General features: G+C 39.6%; 1 protein-coding gene across 2 annotated transcripts in view, besides 1 other annotated feature; it reads right to left on the bottom strand.

The window, feature by feature from the left end:
• Nucleotides 1–21,640, bottom strand: part of DNAJC3 (DnaJ heat shock protein family (Hsp40) member C3) — a 117,850-nt gene that overhangs the window by 44,779 nt on the left and 51,431 nt on the right. Inside the window, exon 5 of one of the 2 annotated variants that reach the window (XM_011521104.3) lies at nucleotides 7,490–7,576. The exons of the other annotated variant lie outside the window; for it this stretch is intronic. Coding sequence (XP_011519406.1) covers nucleotides 7,490–7,576 — 87 coding nt within the window. The remainder of the gene's footprint in view (nucleotides 1–7,489; nucleotides 7,577–21,640) is intronic. 2 annotated transcript variants of the gene reach the window in all.
• Nucleotides 8,188–8,257: a silencer, noted in NCBI's record as "silent region_5448". NCBI's record gives its function as "represses an Ori minimal core promoter by ATAC-STARR-seq in GM12878 lymphoblastoid cells {active_cell/tissue: GM12878}" and the evidence as "EXISTENCE:reporter gene assay evidence [ECO:0000049][PMID:35858748]".

Genomic DNA, 21,640 nt, shown 5'->3' with positions numbered 1-21,640 from the left:
ATTGATGGGAGAGGGGTAGCAATGGGTCGAAGACGGGAAACGGAATTCCACATTGTCCCTGTTACTGAGATGCCATTTAGGCGTTCGATTGGAGACATCTAAATGTCAAGTAGGCAGCTGCCTGCCTGATATTGGATGTGTACATAAGAGGACTCTGGAAACAGCTATCTGAGTCACAGCATAAAGTGCTATCTTTAAAACACTAATTAGAGGCTCACTACAACCTCCACCTCCCAGGTTCAAGCAATTCTCCTGCCTCAGCCTCCCGAGTAGCTGGGACTACAGGCATGGGCCACCACGCCCAGCTAATTTTTTTGTATTTTTAGTACAGACAGAGTTTCATCTTGTTGGCCAGGATGGTGTCAATCTCCTGACCTGATGATCCGCCTGCCTCGGCCTCACAAAGTGCTGGGATTACAGGTGTGAGCCACTGCACCTGGCTGAAACTGTGGGTTTTAAAGATAGCACTTTATGCTGTGACTCAGATAGCTGTTTCCAGAACCCTCTTATGTACACATCCAATATCAGGCAGGCAGCTACCTACTTCACATTTAGATGTCTCCAATCCATCACCTAAATGGCATCTCAGTAACAGGGACAAAGTGGAATTCTGTTTCCCATCTTCAACCCATTGCTATCCCTCCCCATCAATCTCTTCAATCAATGGCTCTACTTTATCATTTAAGCCATGAATCCTAAAAGTCAGTAGTTCCCTCTTTTCCTGATGTAATAGAGTCTTACTCCATTTTACTGCTGGCATCTTTTAGGCTCACCCCTTCCTCTTTCCCTTTGGCCCATATCTCAGCAAGCTGATAAGAAAACACATTTGAATCTCTCTCAAAGAGGGATGAATCTAAAAATTGATGGAGTCTTACCATCAGCCAGTCAGCATGATCATACATACACAAGAATGGTCTAGCACACTTCATTTGTGTTATGGGCATTTTTGGTACTTACTACACATGCTGAGTTTAAATTCCACTTAAAATCTTCAAGAAATTAATGTATGCAGGAAGGCAATGAATACAGCAGTATGATATAACAAAAATGCATATCTAAGTCTCAAACAGTTCTTTCCATAAGCATAAATTAAAAATATTGTTATAAGATGGCTTTAATTGGCAGCATTTATTCTTCTAGTAGTACATAAAATAATTTGTCTTATAATTGATAGCTCCTTACAGTTGGTGAATTACAGTATGTGATCCAGTATTAAATCTGAACCAATAAAAACCAGAACAGTTATCTGAATCATAGCATAAAGTGCTATCTTTAAATTATAACCAAAATGACTTTATGACTTAAAAGTACCATTCTCCTTTATTCTCAGTTCACAATACTTTGAGTATTCTTTTAAAACTTTGGGTTTTTTTGTTTGTTTGTTTGTTTGTTTTGAGACGGAGTCTGGCTCTGTCACCCAGGCTGGAGTATAGTGGTGCAATCTCAGCTCACTGCAACCTTTCCCTCCCAGGTTCAAGCAATTCTCCTGCCTCAGCTTCCTGAGTAGCTGGGATTACAGGCGTGTGCCAACATGCCCAGCTAATTTTTGTGTTTTTAGTGGAGACAGGGTTTCGCCATGTTGGCCAGGCTGGTCTCAAACTCCTGAGCTCAGGTGATCTGCCCACCTTGACCTCCCAAAGTGCTGGGATTACAGGCGTGAGCCACCTCACCCAGCCGAAACTTTGGTTATTTCTGAGTTAGCTATCCTGAAACAATATAATGATCCTTTCTGCATTAAAGAATTAAAGATGGAAAAAAAATGATGACAGTTATTTTGATGTATAATAGATATAATTATGTTAGTTTGAATTGTTTACAATTGATACAGATCCACAGACTACCAAAGGAGAGTTTATCAAATGTCTTACCAAAGGTTTATACTTGATTTAAAAATTAAATTGCAATTGGCACCATTATTTACCTAATATATGGTTTCTCACAATCAAAATGCAAGTTTCTGCTCTGTCAAAGTAAAAAAATACAGTTATATGAAAGGACTATTTAAATTGAATTAAATATAATTGATCCAATTATATTTGGATCTCATGGAACACTGCCTAAATTTAAATATTATCCACGTAAGCCCAAAGCATGAATAGCAAAGATATAGTAAACAATGAAGACCAAGAATAGATGAGTTTAAACTGCACTTAGGAAAGTATGTTGGATTTGAGATAAAAGGGAAGAATTCACAGATTACAAATTATTACATAAAACAAGTTAGTGAGAACCAGGAAGTTTTTATAGAAATAAGACAGTCATATTTTCTCTACCTGTCCCTCTCCCCTAAATGATTTTTCTCTGGACTATCTCAGGGAATAGCATGGACAATTTGAACAATCCAGAAACCTGGATATCATAATTCCTTTTTTTCCTATCACCCCAACCAATGAATCTCTCTAGAGCCGACCTCCTAAACGTCTACCCCACCTACATTAGCCTACTCTTTGACCACTGTAAGGTTACACTTGGATTACTTATTTACTGCAACAGTCTCATTTAGCAGACTCTCTGCTTCTCCCCTTGTCTTATTCCAATCCATTCTTCAGAGCAACCAGTCGATCACGCTAAGCAAAAAACTGTTCATAATACTTCCAACATAAACCTTCAATGGCCATAAAGAGCCAATTCCTGGCACTATATAATGTCCTCCTTATAATCACGATCCCCCACATGCCTGTCAAGAGTCTCATACTCCAGCTTACTGGACATTTCCTAAATGACAGGCACATGCTTGCCTCTGATTCTTACACAGGCTCTCACCTTTGCCCTGGATGGTCCTCCTACCCACCTTGCTTACACGGATGCATCCTTTTAAAATTCAGATTTCAAGCAAGTAACCTCCTTTAGGAATGCCCTTCTTGAATCCAGACCCTTCCTCCCCCAGTTAAGTTAGATGACCCTTCCATATGTTCCCAGAGGACTCAATCACACACTTATCATATATCATATTTGCCTGATTAATTCTTACTCTAGTATCATTTCTTGGAAGGCAGAGACTAGCTTCTTTGCAAAGAACATGCACTCAAATGCTCACTGAACTAACAAATGATTGTATGCACTGATTAAGAGTAACTGACAGCTCAAAGACAAATTAAATGATCTAAGTTATATGAAATGACTATTTAAATTTATCGTTGCTTTTTTATATTTGGATCTCATGGAAAACTGCCTAAATTTAAATATTATCCACGTAAGCCCAAAGCATGAATAGCAAATATATAGTAAACAATGAAGACCAAGAATAGATTAAGACTAAGTCAAATCCAATTTAAGACTAAGACAGCAATTATGAACCTGAGGAGATACTTTTATGCAGGCAACCCTCACCCCAGCTGAGTAATCAGTATACAGTACATAATAAAGAATGAGATTCTCACTGGAGCCCAGAAAGAGATTACACCTATTCAAATTTTTGTTCTTTTATATAAAATGTAGCTAAACATATCCACCTGGCTGTATCCAGCACCACATTAGTAAGATGAAATGCTTAGTACATTTTATAGCCTGGTAAATGATCATTACACAAAAAGCTCATTTAACCAAGAACATATAAAACAATCAAACTTTTATATATCATTTATACTCACAAATCTTCAAAAATTAAAGTATAAGAATCCTGTAATTGGTAAATATAAAATAGGCATAACATAAATTTGATCTTTTCAAACTAGACTCAGAAATCATCCATTATATAGTATCAACAATAAAGATAGGAATATGTCATCTATTCAACTTCTACACTTCACAATGAGGAAAATAAGGTCCTTAGAAGGCAAGAACTTTCAAGGCCACTTACACAAAATGTATAAAGTCTACACTTTACACTTTTTTTGAGAAGGTAATAAGGTCACATGGTGTAATCTTCCTCCAGAAGGTAATCAGTGTTATCAGTTTCTTGCATATCTTTCCAGGGGTATTTTATCCACATTCAAGCAAATATGTATGTTCTTACATTTATGCAGATAGTAGCAACTATCCTATTCTGCACTTTGTAAAACTGTCCATACAGTTGAGACCTGTGCCCATATTCTACAGAAGTCATCTTCAAAGGATGCATATGGACAATTACTAATTATAACAGAGGGCAGAACAGCGCAGTGCTTCAGAGTGCAGGCCCTGGAATCTAAAACCTACTTGCCAACTACTGGTGTAATCTTGAGCAAGTTACTAAACTGCTCTAAGCCTCAATTTCCTCTGCTGTAAACTGAGACTACGAATATAGCAGTCCTCTGCCCCTAGAGGTGGAATAATCCATGCAAACCACTCAGCAACACACCCAGTACATGGTGAGTGCTGCACAAACCATGGCTGAAGTACAAAGTCAAATCTAAAACTCAAGGTTCCTACCTCTTGTTCCAAAGCTTTTCTTTTTTCTTCAAAGTGTATTGAATACAACTTTACAAAAGAGTGTCAACCTAAATAACAAGCATTCTTCAAAGAGTTTATTGAACTGAGTTTATTCTGGAGTGTGCAGGGGATTTGCAAATCCAGCATATGAGGGCTATAGGGACCACAGGCATATCCAAACAGGTTGAAGCCAGGAGAAGCTTTTAAAGGCAAAAGGGAAAAGCATAAGGAATTTGTTTGAAAACAAAGAGAACATTGGATACAGGGGAGACTGTGTCAGTCAAATGTTCTTATGCATCCAGCTAGCTATCCTTGTGACTCACGTAGCAAGCTGCAGTTTGAGCTGCAGTGGCCGCTGCAGGTGGGGAATGTCAATGGGGCTCCATGGATGTAGAGATGCAGGGACTGCTGGCAAAAGTTCTTATTACAGGCATATGTGCAGAAGAGCCCTTCAGAGATGCTTTGTAGCAGTTCTTACGATAGACGTGTGTGAGAGCTCCCTTCTTAACCTCCTGGCTTTATTTATTTTTTGTTAGAATTTAATACAAGTGACTTCATTTTGATTCTGACAACTCTCACAAGGGAAAAGAGCTAGAAACTTCAAATAATTGTCATTCATATCATATTAATTTAACAGACATAAAAATTTTATGTAGTTATCAACATTTACAATTTTTATATTGCCATTTAATTGACATTATTATGTATGCCCAAGTTTATAAACCAAACCTTAAATAATTCTTATTAATGAATATTATTCTATTATATAGATACAACATTCTCTAATAGTTTCCAGAGCAAATAGAGCCCCAGTAAGTGTCTCTGGGCAAAATGTTTTTCTCTCGTAATACTTAATGCCAGACTGTACCGCAAAAGCTCTGCTTATGTTTGCAGTGTCAACATATTATATGACTGAAAACATTTCCTTTAAGACCTATCAATATTACGCTGTAAAATACGTCTTGATTTTTGCTCAACTTAATGACCAGTGGTCTCTGAATAGTTTTAACATTCATCTCTTCATTTGGAAGACTGCGCACTGTATGCACTGATTTTGAATTTGTATTTCTTGTGTTACCTGCCTGATAATATTCTTTTATCTTCTGTCCTGTGGAATCAAGGTTCCGAATGCTTAAAATTTAATCAATTTTTTAATATGTTAAATAAATTTTTCTCAGCATTCCAATTCCATGACCCTGTGTCTCCCTCTCTACCGTCCTTGAGCAGGACTATACATATTGATCAAAGTACATACATATGAATTTGCCAATTGTTAATCTGAATTTTAAGTCCTACAATGAGTTTGGACAAACTATTCCAGGTACCCTAAATTTACTTCAAACAAAGCTTAACATAAAATGATTCTGAAATATATGAATCCTGTGCTTGTATTTTTCTCTAAACCAAATCCAATCTAATTATAATTATTCTTACATGCATACAAAATTGTTTTAATATAACTTTTAAAAATGACTTGTAGTTTTGAAATTTAACTTGGTCTCCCATCTGAATGCCCACTAAGATTTCTCTCATAGAATTAAGTACAAGGTGAGTACTTTCCTATGAAATAATCACAAAAATATTATCCCATGCAAAAGTTGGAATTTAAAACATACCATTTACAATCACAGTAAAAATATAAAATACTTAGGTATACACTTTTTAAAAAAATGTAAAAAACACATACAGTATCTGTATATTAAATTAAAAATTGCTGATGAAAAATACTGAAGGAGACCTCAACAAATGGAGACATCCCTACTATGTTCATGCACTGGACTCAACATAATAAAGGTGTCAATTCTCCCCAAATTAATCTGTAAGTTTATTACGACTCCTAACCAAATATCTCAAGACTTTTTATAAACACAGACAAGTTTATTCTAAAATGTATATGGAAAGACACCAACCTTAAAATATCTAAAACAATTTTGACAAAGAACAAAAGAAGAATCACTTTACCCAATATTAAGGATAACTACTATTAAATAAGCAGGAGGCAGCCGGGCGTGGTGGTTCAGGCCCATAATCCCAGCACTTTGGGAGGCCAAGGTGGGTGGATCATTTGAGGTCAGGAGTTCAACACTAGCCTGGCCAACATGACAAAATCCTATTTCCACTCAAAACACAAAAAATTAGCTGGGTGTGGTAGCGGGCACCTATGATCCCAGCCACTAGGGAGACTGAGACAGGAGAATTGCTTGAACCCAGGAGGCAGAGGTTGCAGTGGGCCGAGATCATGCCACTACACTCCAGCCTAGGTGAGAGGGCAAGACTCTGTCTCAATCAATCAATCAATAAGCAGGAGGCCAGTGGCCTGAGGCTGTCTCCATACTTTCAGTTCCCACTTAATGAACTACAACCTAACTTAAACTGAAAACCTAACTTAAGAAGGTAATAACAGTGGTGTCTCGGCCAATCATAAGCAGCCAAACCGCCACTAATCACAGGCAGGTAACTGACCAGACCATATCCAAATAAGGCAAAGGCCTAGCTGTAACCAGTCAAACGATTTCTGTACCTCACATTTTCTGTCTATAAGTACTCACTGCCCACATTGCAGAGCCCAGCTCTCTGAACCTTTTCTGGTTGTGAGGAGTGATGACTTCATTGATCATTCTTTGCTCAAATAAACTCTGCTAAGTTTAAATTCTCAAAAGTTTTTCTTTTAATACTATCTATAGTAATCAACAGAGTGCAGGAATGACAAAGGGACAGACACACAGATCAAAGGAACAGAATAAAGAACCTAGAAATAGTCCCATAAAAGTACAGCCAACTGATTTTTGAATAAGGTGCAAAAGCAATTCAATGAAAGAAACAAAGTCTTTTCAAAATATGGTGCTGAAGCAATCTGATACCTAAAGGCAAAACAAATGAACTTCGACCTAAACCTCATACCATCATACAAAAATTAACTCAAATAGACTATGGGCTTAAAAATAAAACACAAAACCATAAAACTTTTAGAAGATATGAGAAAAGTTTTAGATCCTACGGCGTAGTGAATACTTCTTAGACATGACACCAAACGCACAGTCCACAGAAGTAAAAAGGAAATCAACAAATTGAACTTCATCAAATTTAAAGACTGAGGAAGGCATTCAGAGATGGCTGACGAGAGGCATCTGAAAGTCACCTTCTTCATAAGGAAGAACCAAAATAGCAAGTATAGATCATCTAGGAGAGAACGCTGGAGTCCCAACAGAGAAGGAACAGGAAACACCTAAGAAGAAGAAGAAGAGAGAAGTGAGGCAGCCTGCTTGGCTGGGATAAGAGCCCAAAGAGGCTCTGAATGTGGGGAAAAAGTAAGTAAGTGACCCCCAGCAGTCCACATTGCCACTGTGGACTCCTCCAATCCTAGCTGGAGATCCTCTCAACCCTTGTGGGCCCTGAAAGTAACCAGCTGCATGGAGACTGCATGATGGCATTGCTTCAAAGAAGGAGATCACACTGGATCCTACACACCTTCCAAGTCCTATGCACCTACAACATGGTGCCTCTGTAAGAATACAGCCCTTACCAGGCAGCATCCTGCCCTGGGGCCCACCCCACAGTTTCTGCATCTCCACATCCATTGTGCCCCATTGACATCCCCCACCTGCAGATGCCACTGTAGCTGGTTGCTGCCACCAGAGCCAAGCACAAGACACTAGCAGCAAGCCCACCACCCCAGGAGAAGGATTGCTACACATTTTAAAATGTACTGAGCACAGGCTCTCTTGCCAGCAGCCGCCACCTAGGGACAAAGTGTGTGCTCCCCAGCCACCTGCCTACAGCTGCTGCCACTGAAAAAATCCCCGCCTTACCCAGTAGCAGGACTGCAGCACAGCCACTGCTGCCTCCACCCAAGCACTTCACTGAAAGTCTGGGGATCACCCCACCCTTACCCACCACAGCCAGCACCTGTACACATCACTGGAAGGGCCTGAGGATAGTTCTGCCTGGCATGGCTCACTACCCCTGCCTCTGCCCAAGTGCCCAAGCACACTATCCTGGGGCCTGAGGATTTCTCTGCCCAGTCTATACCCATTGGCACCTGAGCACTCCTTCCTGGAGCCTGAGGGTGAGCCCACCCAGCTTGCCATGCCACCACAGTAGCATACACCAGGACACACCACCTGTGGCCTGGGACTGCCCCACTCAACACAGTGTAGCCATCGCCAAGACCACCTCAGACCAGCTGGGATCCAAAGGGTTGTCCCACCAATGCTACTGTCATTGCCCAGGCCACAACTGCTGCCCAGGGACCCACGGACCCACCCACCTGTCCAATCCACTGCTGCCATTCCCGTACCAAAGTAGGCCACCCGGAAGCCCAAGAATTGGTCCACGTGGACCCACTAACATAAATGCCAGCATACGCCACCTTGAAGCCCTAAGTTAGGCATGTTTGGCCTGTTATTGCCCCCACTAGGGCCCAAGAACTGGCTTATCTGACATCCCCATCCCCAGCAAAACTACAAAACAGCTTCCAATAACAACTGCACCCTAAGCCACTGAAGAAATCACAGATACCACTGACACTGATTACAGCCAGCCAAATTATATGGAGACTATACTACTACATACACCAAGAATCAAAGCCAAAGTGCTCTACCCAACCAAAATCACAAACACATCTTAAGGAAAAAGTCCTCTCCTACAAAAACAAATCCAAAAAATTCAAAGACATGACAGTTACATTATTAACAGATGCACAAATATCAACATGAGAACTTAAACATGAAAAAGCAATGAAATATGACACCTCCAAAAGAAAACAATAACTCTCCAGCAACAGATTCCAATGAAAAAGAAATTTGTGAAATACCAGAAAAATGATTCAATATAATGACACTAAATAAGCTCAGGGAGATATAAGAGAACAGAGATAGACAATACAAAGAAATTAGAAAAACAATCCAGGGTATGAATGAAAAATGTATAAAAGAGATACATATCATTTTTAAAAAGAATCAGACAAATACTGGAACTAAAGAATTCACTGAATGAAATTTTAAAATACACTTAAGAGCTTCAGGGGAGGAGCCAAGATGGCCGAATAGGAACAGCTCCGGTCTACAGCTCCCAGCGTGAGCGACGCAGAAGACGGGTGATTTCTGCATTTCCATCTGAGGTACCGGGTTCATCTCACTAGGGAGTGCCAGACAGTGGGCGCAGGTCAGTGGGTGCGTGCACCGTGCGCGAGCCGAAGCAGGGCGAGGCATTGCCTCACTTGGGAAGTGCAAGGGGTCAGGGAGTTCCCTTTCTGAGTCAAAGAAAGGGGTGACGGACAGCACCTGGAAAATCGGGTCACTCCCACCCGAATACTGCGCTTTTCCGACGGGCTTAAAAAACGGCGCACCACGAGATTATATCCGGCACCTGGCTCGGAGGGTCCTACGCCCACGGAGTCTCGCTGATTGCTAGCACAGCAGTCTGAGATCAAACTGCAAGGCGGCAGCGAGGCTGGGGGAGGGGCGCCCGCCATTGCCCAGGCTTGCTTAGGTAAACAAAGCAGCCGGGAAGCTCCAACTGGGTGGAGCCCACCACAGCTCAAGGAGGCCTGCCTGCCTCTGTAGGCTCCACCTCTGGGAGCAGGGCACAGACAAACAAAAAGACAGCAGTAACCTCTGAAGACTTAAATATCCCTGTCTGACAGCTTTGAAGAGAGCAGTGGTTCTCCCAGCACGCAGCTGGAGATCTGAGAACGGGTAGACTGCCTCCTCAAGTGGGTCCCTGACCCCGACCCCCGAGCAGCCTAACTGGGAGGCACCCCCCAGCAGGGGCACACTGACACCTCACACGGCAGGGTATTCCAACAGACCTGCAGCTAAGGGTCCTCTCTGTTAGAAGGAAAACTAACAAACAGAAAGGACATCCACACCAAAAACCCATCTGTACATCACCATCATCAAAGACCAAAAGTAGATAAAACCACAAAGATGGGGAAAAAACAGAACAGAAAAACTGGAAACTCTAAAAAGCAGAGCGCATCTCCTCCTCTAAAGGAACGCAGTTCCTCACCAGCAACAGAACAAAGCTGGATGGAGAATGACTTTGACGAGCTGAGAGAAGAAGGCTTCAGACGATCAAATTACTCTGAGCTACGGGAGGACATTCAAACCAAAGGCAAAGAGGTTGAAAACTTTGAAAAAAATTTAGAAGAATGTATAACTAGAATAACCAATACAGAGAAGTGCTTAAAGGAGCTGATGGAGCTGAAAACCAAGGCTCAAGAATGCAGAAGCCTCAGGAGCCAATACGATCAACTGGAAGAAAGGGTATCAGCGATGGAAGATGAAATGAATGAAATGAAGCGAGAAGGGAAGTTTAGAGAAAAAAGAATAAAAAGAAATGAGCAAAGCCTCCAAGAAATATGGGACTATGTGAAAAGACCAAATCTACGTCTGACTGGTGTACCTGAAAGTGATGGGGAGAATGGAACCAAGTTGGAAAACACTCTGCAGGATATTATCCAGGAGAACTTCCCCAATCTAGCAAGGCAGGCCAACGTTCAGATTCAGGAAATACAGAGAATGCCACAAAGATACTCCTCGAGAAGAGCAACTCCAAGACACATAATTGTCAGATTCACCAAAGTTGAAATGAAGGAAAAAATGTTAAGGGCAGCCAGAGAGGAAGGTCGGGTTACCCTCAAAAGGAAGCCCATCAGACTAATAGCGGATCTCTCAGCAGAAACCCTACAAGCCAGAAGAGAGTGGGGGCCAATATTCAACATTCTTAAAGAAAAGAATTTTCAACCCAGAATTGCATATCCAGCCAAACTAAGCTTCATAAGTGAAGGAGAAATAAAATCCTTTACAGACAAGCAAATGCTGAGAGATTCTGTCACCACCAGGCCTGCCCTACAAGAGCTCCTGAAGGAAGCACTAAACATGGAAAGGAACAACCAGTACCAGCCGCTGCAAAATCATGCCAAAATGTAAAGACCATCGAGACTAGGAAGAAACTGCATCAACTAACGAGCAAAATAACCAGCTAACATCAAAATGACAGGATCAAAATCACACATAACAATATTAACTTTAAATGTAAATGGACTAAATGCTCCAATTAAAAGACACAGACTGGCAAACTGGATAAAGAGTCAAGACCCATCAGTGTGCTGTATTCAGGAAACCCATCTCACGTGCAGAGACACACATAAGCCCAAAATAAAAGGATGGAGGAAGATCTACCAAGCCAATGGAAAACAAAAAAAGGCAGGGGTTGCAATCCTTGTCTCTGATAAAACAGACTTTAAACCAACAAAGATCAAAAGAGACAAAGAAGGCCATGACATAATGGTAAAGGGATCAATTCAACAAGAAGAGCTAACTATCCTAAATATATATGCACCCAATACAGGAGCAACTAGATTCATAAAGCAAGTCCTGAGTGACCTACAAAGAGACTTAGACTCCCACACATTAATAATGGGAGACTTTAACACCCCACTGTCAACATTAGACAGATCAACGAGACAGAAAGTCAACAAGGATACCCAGGAATTGAACTCAGCTCTGCACCAAGCGGACCTAATAGACATCTACAGAACTCTCCACCCCAAATCAACAGAATATACATTTTTTTCAGCACCACACAACACCTATTCCAAAATTGACCACATACTGGGAAGTAAAGCTCTCCTCAGCAAATGTAAAAGAACAGAAATTATAACAAACTATCTCTCAGACCACAGTGCAATCAAACTAGAACTCAGGATTAAGAATCTCACTCAAAACTGCTCAACTACATGGAAACCGAACAACCTGCTCCTGAATGACTACTGGGTACATAACGAAATGAAGGCAGAAATAAAGATGTTCTTTGAAACCAACGAGAACAAAGACACAACATACCAGAATCTCTGGGACGCATTCAAAGCAGTGTGTAGAGGGAAATTTATAGCACTAAATGCCCACAAGAGAAAGCAGGAAAGATCCAAAATTGACACCCTAACATCACAATTAAAAGAACTAGAAAAGCAAGAGCAAACACATTCAAAAGCTAGCAGAAGGCAAGAAATAACTAAAATCAGAGCAGAACTGAAGGAAATAGAGACACAAAAAACCCTTCAAAAAATTAATGAATCCAGGAGCTGGTTTTTTGAAAGGATCAACAAAATTGATAGACCACTAGCAAGACTAATAAAGAAAAAAAGAGAGAAGAATCAAATAGACACAATAAAAAAATGATAAAGGGGATATCACCACCGATCCCACAGCAATACAAACTACCATCAGAGAATACTACAAACACCTCTACGCAAATAAACTAGAAAATCTAGAAGAAATGGATAAATTCCTGGACACATACACTCTCTCAAGACTAAACCAGGAAGAAGTTGAATCTCTGAATAGACCAATAACAGGAGCTGAAATTGTGGCAATAATCAATAGCTTACCAACCAAAAAGAGTCCAGGACCAGATGGATTCACAGCCAAATTCTACCAGAGGTACAAGGAGGAACTGGTACCATTCCTTCTGAAACTATTCCAATCAATAGAAAAAGAGGGAATTCTCCCTAACTCATTTTATGAGGCCAGCATCATTCTGATACCAAAGCCAGGCAGGGACACAACAAAAAAAGAGAATTTTAGACCAATATCCTTGATGAACATTGATGCAAAAATCCTCAATAAAATACTGGCAAAACGAATCCAGCAGCACATCAAAAAGCTTCTCCACCATGATCAAGTGGGCTTCATCCCTGGGATGCAAGGCTGGTTCAATATACGCAAATCAATAAATGTAATCCAGCATATAAACAGAGCCAAAGACAAAAACCACATGATTATCTCAATAGATGCAGAAAAAGCCTTTGACAAAATTCAACAACCCTTCAGGCTAAAAACTCTCAATAAATTAGGTATTGATGGGACCTATTTCAAAATAATAAGAGCTATCTATGACAAACCCACAGCCAATATCATACTGAATGGGCAAAAACTGGAAGCATTCCCTTTGAAAACTGGCACAAGACAGGGATGCCCTCTCTCACCACTCCCATTCAACATAGTGTTGGAAGTTCTGGCCAGGGCAATTAGGCAGGAGAAGGAAATAAAGGGTATTCAATTAGGAAAAGAGGAAGTCAAATTGTCCCTGTTTGCAGATGACATGATTGTATATCTAGAAAACCCCATTGTCTCAGCCCAAAATCTCCTTAAGCTGATAAGCAACTTCAGCAAAGTCTCAGGATACAAAATCAATGTACAAAAATCAAAAGCATTCTTATACACCAACAACAGACAAACAGAGCCAAATCATGAGTGAACTCCCATTCACAATTGCTTCAAAGAGAATAAAATACCTAGGAATCCAACTTACAAGGGATGTGAAGGACCTCTTCAAGGAGAACTACAAACCACTGCTCAAGGAAATAAAAGAGGATACAAACAAATGGAAGAACATTCCATGCTCATGGGTAGGAAGAATCAATATCGTGAAAATGGCCATACTGCCCAAGGTAATTTATAGATTCAATGCCATCCCCATCAAGCTACCAATGACTTTCTTCACAGAATTGGAAAAAACTACTTTAAAGTTCATATGGAACCAAAAAAGAGCCCGCATCGCCAAGTCAAACCTAAGCCAAAAGAACAAAGCTGGAGGCATCACACTACTTGACTTCAAACTATACTACAAGGCTACAGTAACCAAAGCAGCATGGTACTAGTACCAAAACAGAGATATAGATCAATGGAACAGAACAGAGCCCTCAGAAATAACGCCGCATATCTACAACTATCTGATCTTTGACAAACCTGAGAAAAACAAGCAATGGGGAAAGGATTCCCTATTCAATAAATGGTGCTGGGAAAACTGGCTAGCCGTATGTAGAAAGCTGAAACTGGATCCCTTCCTTACACCTTATACAAAAATCAATTCAAGATGGATTAAAGACTTAAACGTTAGACCTAAAACCTTAAAAACCCTAGAAGAAAACCTAGGCATTACCATTCAGGACATAGGCATGGGCAAAGACTTCATGTCTAAAACACCAAAAGGAATGGCAACAAAAGACAAAATTGACAAATGGGATCTAATTAAACTAAAGAGCTTCTGCACAGCAAAAGAAACTATCATCAGAGTGAACAGGCAACCTACAAAATGGGAGAAAATTTTTGCAACCTACTCATCTGACAAAGGGCTAATATCCAGAATCTACAATGAACTCAAACAAATTTACAAGAAAAAAACAAACAACCCCATCAAAAAGTGGGCGAAGGACATGAACAGACACTTCTCAAAAGAAGACATTTATGCGGCCAAAAAACACATGAAAAAATGCTCATCATCACTGGCCATCAGAGAAATGCAAATCAAAACCACAATGAGATACCAACTCACACCAGTTAGAATGGCAATCATTAAAAAGTCAGGAAACAACAGGTGCTGGAGAGGATGTGGAGAAATAGGAACACTTTTACACTGTTGGTGGGACTGTAAACTAGTTCAACCATTGTGGAAGTCAGTGTGGCGATTCCTCAGGGATCTAGAACTGGAAATACCATTTGACCCAGCCATCCCATTACTGGGTATATACCCAAAGGACTATAAATCATGCTGCTATAAAGACACATGCACACGTATGTTTATTGCGGCATTATTCACAATAGCAAAGACTTGGAACCAACCCAAATGTCCAACAATGATAGACTGGATTAAGAAAATGTGGCACATATACACCATGGAATACTATGCAGCCATAAACAATGATGAGTTCATGTCCTTTGTAGGGACATGGATGAAATTGGAAATCATCATTCTCAGTAAACTATCGCAAGAACAAAAAACAAAACACTGCATGTTCTCACTCATAGGTGGGAATTGAACAATGAGATCACATGGACACAGAAAGGGGAATATCACACTCTGGGGCCTGTTGTGGGGTGGGGGGGAGGGGGGAGGGATAGCATCGGGAGATATACCTAATGCTAGATGACGAGTTAGTGGGTGCAGCGCACCAGCATGGCACATGTATACATATGTAACTAACCTGCACAATGTGCACATGTATCCTAAAACTTAAAGTATAATTAAAAAAAAAAAAAAGAGCTTCAACAATAGACGACAGCAAGCAGAACAAACAATTTCAGAACTTGAAGACAGGTCCTTTGAAATAAGCCAATCAGAAAAATATAAAGAAAAAAGAATGAAAAAGAATAAACAAGCTTACATGACACACAGAACTCCATAAAGTAACCAAATATTTGAATTTTTGTTGTCACAGAAGGTAAAGAGAAAACCACAGTGATAAAAAACTTACTTAACAAAATAATAGCTGAAAACATCCCAAGTCTAGCAAAAGATTTAGACGTCGATAGACAGAAAGCTCAGATAACCCAAAATAGATACAGTTCAAAAAGGACTTCTCCATGGCACATAGCAATCAAACTGTCAAAAGTCAAAAACTAGGAGAAAGTTCTGAAAACAGAAGATAAAAACATTTAGTCATTTATAAGGGAAACCCCATTGGACTATCGGGATTATTTCTCAGCAGAAACCTTACTGGCCTGCAGGGAATGGAATGATATACTCAAAGTGCTAAGAGAAAACTGTCAACCAACAATACTACACCCAGCAAAGTTATCCTTCATAAATGAAGGAGAAAAATAAAGCCTTTCCCAGACAGGTTCATCACCACTAGACCAATTCTACAAGAAATGCTTAAGGGAGTCCTAAACCTAGATGCAAAAGGACAATATCTACTGTCATGAAAACACACCGTATAAAACTCACTGGTAGAGCAAACACACAAATGAGAAAGGATTCAAATGTTACCACTACAGAAAACCACCAAACCAAAAAGATAAACAATAAGAGAAAAAGAAAGGAACAAAGGATATACAAAACATCCAGAAAACAACAAACAATATGACCAGGATGAAATCTCACATATCAGTAATAACTTTTCAAGGTTATTTAAACAGATTAAATTTTCCCCTTAAAGGACTGACTGAATGGATTTTTAAAAAATGGATCTAACTATATGGCACTTACAAGAAACTTCCTTCACTTGTAAAGACACACGAAGACTAAAAGTAAAGGGACAGAAGACATTCCACGCAAATGGAAACCTAAAGCAAACAAGAATAGCTATATTTAAATAAAACGTATTTATCGGTTTAAGACAGAACTGTTAAAAAAAAAAAAAAAAAAAAAAAAGACAGGCCAGGCACAGTGGCTCACACATGTAATCCCAGCACTTTGCGAGGCCAGGGCAGGCAGATCACCTGAGATCAGGAGTTTGAGACCAGCCTGGCCAAAATGGCAAAACCCCGTTTCTACTAAAAACATAAAAATTAGCTGGATGTGGTGATGTGGTGGTATGCGCCTGTAGTCCCAGCTACTCAGGAGGCTGAAGCAGGAGAATTGCTTGAACCCAGGAGGTGGAGGTTGCAGTGAGCTGAGATTGCACCACTGCACTCCAGCCTGGGTGACAGAGCAAGACTCTGCCTCACAAAAAACAAAAAGACAAAAGTCATTATATAATAATAAACGGATCAGTTCAGCAAGAGGATATAACAATTCTAAATATATATGTACCCAACACTGGAGCACCCACATATGTTAAGGCAAATATTATTAGATATAAAAGGAAAGACAATCTCCAAGATAATAATAGTGGGGGACTTTAATACCCCACTCTCAGCATTACATAGATCATATAGACAGAAAATCAACAAAAAAAGTTGGCTATAACTGAACTTTAGACCAAACAGACTTAACAGACATTCACAGAACATGTTACCCTAAAACAGTAGAATATACATACTGCTCATCAGCATATGCAACATTCTCAAGGACAGACGTATATTAGGCCATAAAATAAGTATCAACAAATTTTTAAATATCAAAATCATGTAAGTACTTTCTCAGACCACATTGGAATAAAACTAGAAAACAATACCAAGAGGAACTTTGGAAACTATACAAATACATGAAAACTCTGTCAAGAAATTAAGATGGAAATAAAAAAATTTTTTTGAAACAAATGAAAATGGAAACACAACATACCAAAACCTATGGAATACAGCCAAAGCAGTGCTAAGAGGAAACTTTGTAGCAATAAACACATATATAAAAAAAAAGATTTCAAATAAACAATCTAACATGCATCCCAAGAAACCAGAAAAGGAAGAACAAACCCAAAATTAGTAGAAGGAAAAAAAAATAAAGATCACAGCAGAACTAAATGAAATTGAGACTAAAAAAACAATGCAAGGGATCACAAAACAAAAAGTCGGTTTTACGAAAAGATAAACAAATTGATAAACCACAAGCTAGATTAACCAAGAAAAAAACGAGAAAAGGCCCAAATAATCAAAATCGGAAACAAAAAGGAAATATTGTAACTCATACCCAAGAAATATAAAAAAATCCCCCAAAGACTATTATTAATAGCTATCTAATAACAAACTGGAAAATCTAGAGGAAATGGATAAATTCCTGGAAACCTACAGCCTACCAAGGCTGAACCTACCAAGGCTGAAACAGAAAACCTGAATAGACCAGTAACAAGATTAAATCAGTAATTAAAGTCTCCCAACAAAGAAAAGCCCAGGACTGGATGGATTCATTGCCAAATTCTTCCAAACATATAAAAGAGAAATAATACCAACTCTCCTCAAATTATTACAAAAACTGAAGTGGTGGGAATTCTCCCTAACTCATTCTATGAGGCCAGAATTACCTTGAAGCCAAAACCAGACAAGGACACAACAAAGAAAGAAAACTACAGGCCAATGTCTTTGATGAACACAGATGCAAACATCCTCAACGAAATACTAGCAAATGAATCCAATAGCTTGACAAAAAGGTAAGACACCGGCTGGGTGCAGTGGCTGATGCCTGTAATCTCAGCACTTCGGGAGGCCAAGGTGGAAGGATCTCTTAAGCCCAGGAGTTTCAGACCAGCCTGTGCAACAAAGTGCGACCCAGTCTCAAAAAAAAAAAAAAAAAAAAAATTAGCCAGGCGTGGTGATGCACACCTGTGGTCCCAGCTACTCAGGAGGCTCAGGCCAGAGGATCACTTGAGCCCAGTAGGTTGAGGCTGCAGTGAGTCATGTCTGCACCACTGCAGGCCAGAGGATCACCTGAGCCCAGCAGGTTGAGGCTGCAGCGAGTCATGTCCGCACCACTGCACTCCAGCCTGGGCAACACAGGAAGACCCTATCTCAAACAAAAACAAAACCAGAAAACATAAGACACCATGATCAAGTGGGATTTATCCCAGAGACGCAAGAATGGTTCAACATTTAGAAATCAGTATGTGATACATCACATGGACAAACAAAGGGCAAAAACCATACAATCATCTCAAAAGATACAGTAAAAACATTTGATAAAATTCAAAGCCTCCTCAGGACAAAAACTCTAAACAAACTAGGCACAGAAGGAACATACTTCAACAAAATAAAGACCATTATGACAAATCCACAGTTAACATCATAGTGAATGGGAAAAAATTGAAAGCCTTTCCTCTAAGAACTGAAACAAGACAAAGATGCTCACCTTCACCACTCCTACTCAATGCAGTCAGTACTGGGATTCCTAGGCAGACCAGTCAGGCAAGAGGGAGAAATAAAAGGCATCCAAATTGAAAAACATGAAGTCAAATTGTCCCACTTTGCAGATGACATGATCTTATATTTAGAAAACCCAAAATCCAAAATAAACTCTCAGAACTATTTTTTTTAATTCAGTAAAGTGCAGGATACTAAATCAACATACAAAAATCAATAGCATCTCTATACACCAATAATGAAATCACTTAAACTAAGAAGGCAATCCCATTTACAACAGCAATAATAAAAATAAAATACCCAGGAAAAAATTTAACCAAGGAATTGGAAGACTTCTACAAAGAAAACTACAAAATACTGATGAAAGAAATTTAAAAAGACAAAAACAAATAGTAAGACATCCTATGCTCACAAATCAAAATTAACATTGTTAAAATGATCATACTACCCAAAGCAATCTACAGATTCAAGGATATCTGTATCAAAATACCAATGTCATTTTTCACAGAAATAGAAAAAACAATCATACAATTCATATGAAACCAAAACAGAGCCTGAATAGCCAAAGCAATCCTGAGCAAAAAGAGTAAGGAGGCATCAGGCTACCTGACTTCAAAGTATATTACAAGGCTATAGTGACCAAAACAGCATGGTATTGGTATAAAACCAGACACATACATCAATGGAACAGATTAGAGAACCCAGAAATAAATCCATGTACTTACAGCAACTGATTTTTAACAAAGGGGCCGAGAACATACATTGGGGAGAGGACACACACCCTCTTCAATAAATGGTGCTGTGAAAACTGGATATCTATATGCAGCAGATTGAAACTGGATCCCTGTCTCTCACTAAGTACAAAAATCAACACAAACGCCTTAAAGACTTAAACGTAAGACCTAAAACTATAAAGCTACTAGAAGAAAACATGGGAAAAATGCTTTAAGACATTGGTCTATGCAAAGTTTTTATGGCCAAGATCTCAAAAGCACAAGCAAGAAAAACAAAAATAAACAAATGGTATTATATTAAACTAAAAAGCTTCTGGGCTGGGAATGGTGGCTGACACCTGTAAACCTACCACTTTGGGAGGCCAAAGTGGGAGAATCACTTGAGGCCAGGAGTTTAAGACTAGCCTGGGCAACATAGCAAGATCCCATCTCTACAAAAAATGTTTTAAAATTAGCCAGGCCTAGTGATACATACATGTAGTCTCAGTTACTTGGGGGGCTAAGGCAGGGGGATCACTTGAGCCCAGGAATTTGAGGCTGCAGTAAGCCACGATCATGCCACTGTACTCCAGCATAGGTGACAGAGACCCCAACTCAAAAATGTAAAAATAATAAGCCTCTGCACAGCAAAAGACACAATCAACAGAGTGGACAGACAAGCTGTTGACTACAGAAAATATATGCAAACTATTCATCCAACAAGCAACTAATATACAGAATATACAAGGAACTGAAAGAAGTCAGCAGTAAGAAAACAAATAATCCCATTTAAAAATGGGCAAAGGACATAAACAGACATTTCTCAAAAGGCATATAAATAGCCAACAGGTATATGAAAAAATGTTCAACATCACTAATAATCAGGGAAATGCAAATCAAAACAATAATGAGAACACCTCACCCAGTTAGAATGGCTACTATAAAAAGACAAAAAATAATGGATGCTGGCAAGAATGCAGAGAAAAGGGAACTCTTATACGCTGTTGGCAGGAATGTAAATTAGTACAGCCACTATGTAAAACAGTATGGAGATTTCTCAGAAAACTAAAAATAGAACTACTATACAATCAAAATCAGTATATCAAAGGGATACCTGTATCCTCATGTTTATTGCAGCACTATTCCACAATATGGAATCTTACCAAATGTGCTCATCTACAGATGAATTAATAAAGTTAAGTATGGGGTATGTGTGTGTGTATGGAGAGAGGGAGAGGGAGAGGGAGAGGGAGAAGGATAGGCAGAGGGAGAAGGATGGGGAGAAGGAGAGGGAGAGGGAAAAGGACAGGGAGAGGGAGAAGGAGAGGGAGAGGGAGAAGGAGAGGGAGGGGGAGGGGGAGAGGGAGAGGGAGGCGGAGAGGGAGTGGGAGGGGGAGAGGGAGAGGGCGGGGGAAAAGAGAGAGAGAAAGAGAGAGAGAGAGAGAGAGAATGAGTGAATGAGAATGGGATACTATTTGGCCATAAAAAAGAATTAAAATCATGTTCATATGCAGCCACATGGATGGAACTGGAGGTTATTAGTGAAATACAAGCCAGGCACAGAAAGTCAAACATTGCATGTTCTCACATATATGTGGGAGCAAAAAAAAAAGTTACTCTCACAGAGTTAGAGAGTAGGATGACAGACATGATAGACATTAGAGACTGGAAAGGGTGTGTCAGTGGGAGGCGGGGATGAAGAGAGGTTAATGGGTACAAACACACAGCAAAGAAGAATAAGAGGTAATGTTTAATAGCAAAGTAGGGTAGTTAACAATATATTGTCTATTTCAAAATAGCTGGGAGAACGTGAAATGTTCCCAACACACAGAAATGATAAATATTCAGTGATAGATATTCTGAATACCCTGACTTGATCATCACACAGTCTATGCATGTAACAAGGCATCACATGTTCCTCAAAAATACATAAATATGCACAAATATTCTGTATTAATTTAAAAATTAGACATTTTGTTCTATAAAACATCCTGTGAAGAGGATCAAAGGAAAAGCTACAGACTGAGGGGAAAATATTTGTAAACTACATATCCAACAAAG

Source organism: Homo sapiens, chromosome 13 (genome assembly GCF_000001405.40).
Source record: "Homo sapiens chromosome 13, GRCh38.p14 Primary Assembly".
Lineage (NCBI taxonomy): Eukaryota > Metazoa > Chordata > Mammalia > Primates > Hominidae > Homo > Homo sapiens.
This window is presented reverse-complemented; position numbering and strand designations above follow the sequence as displayed.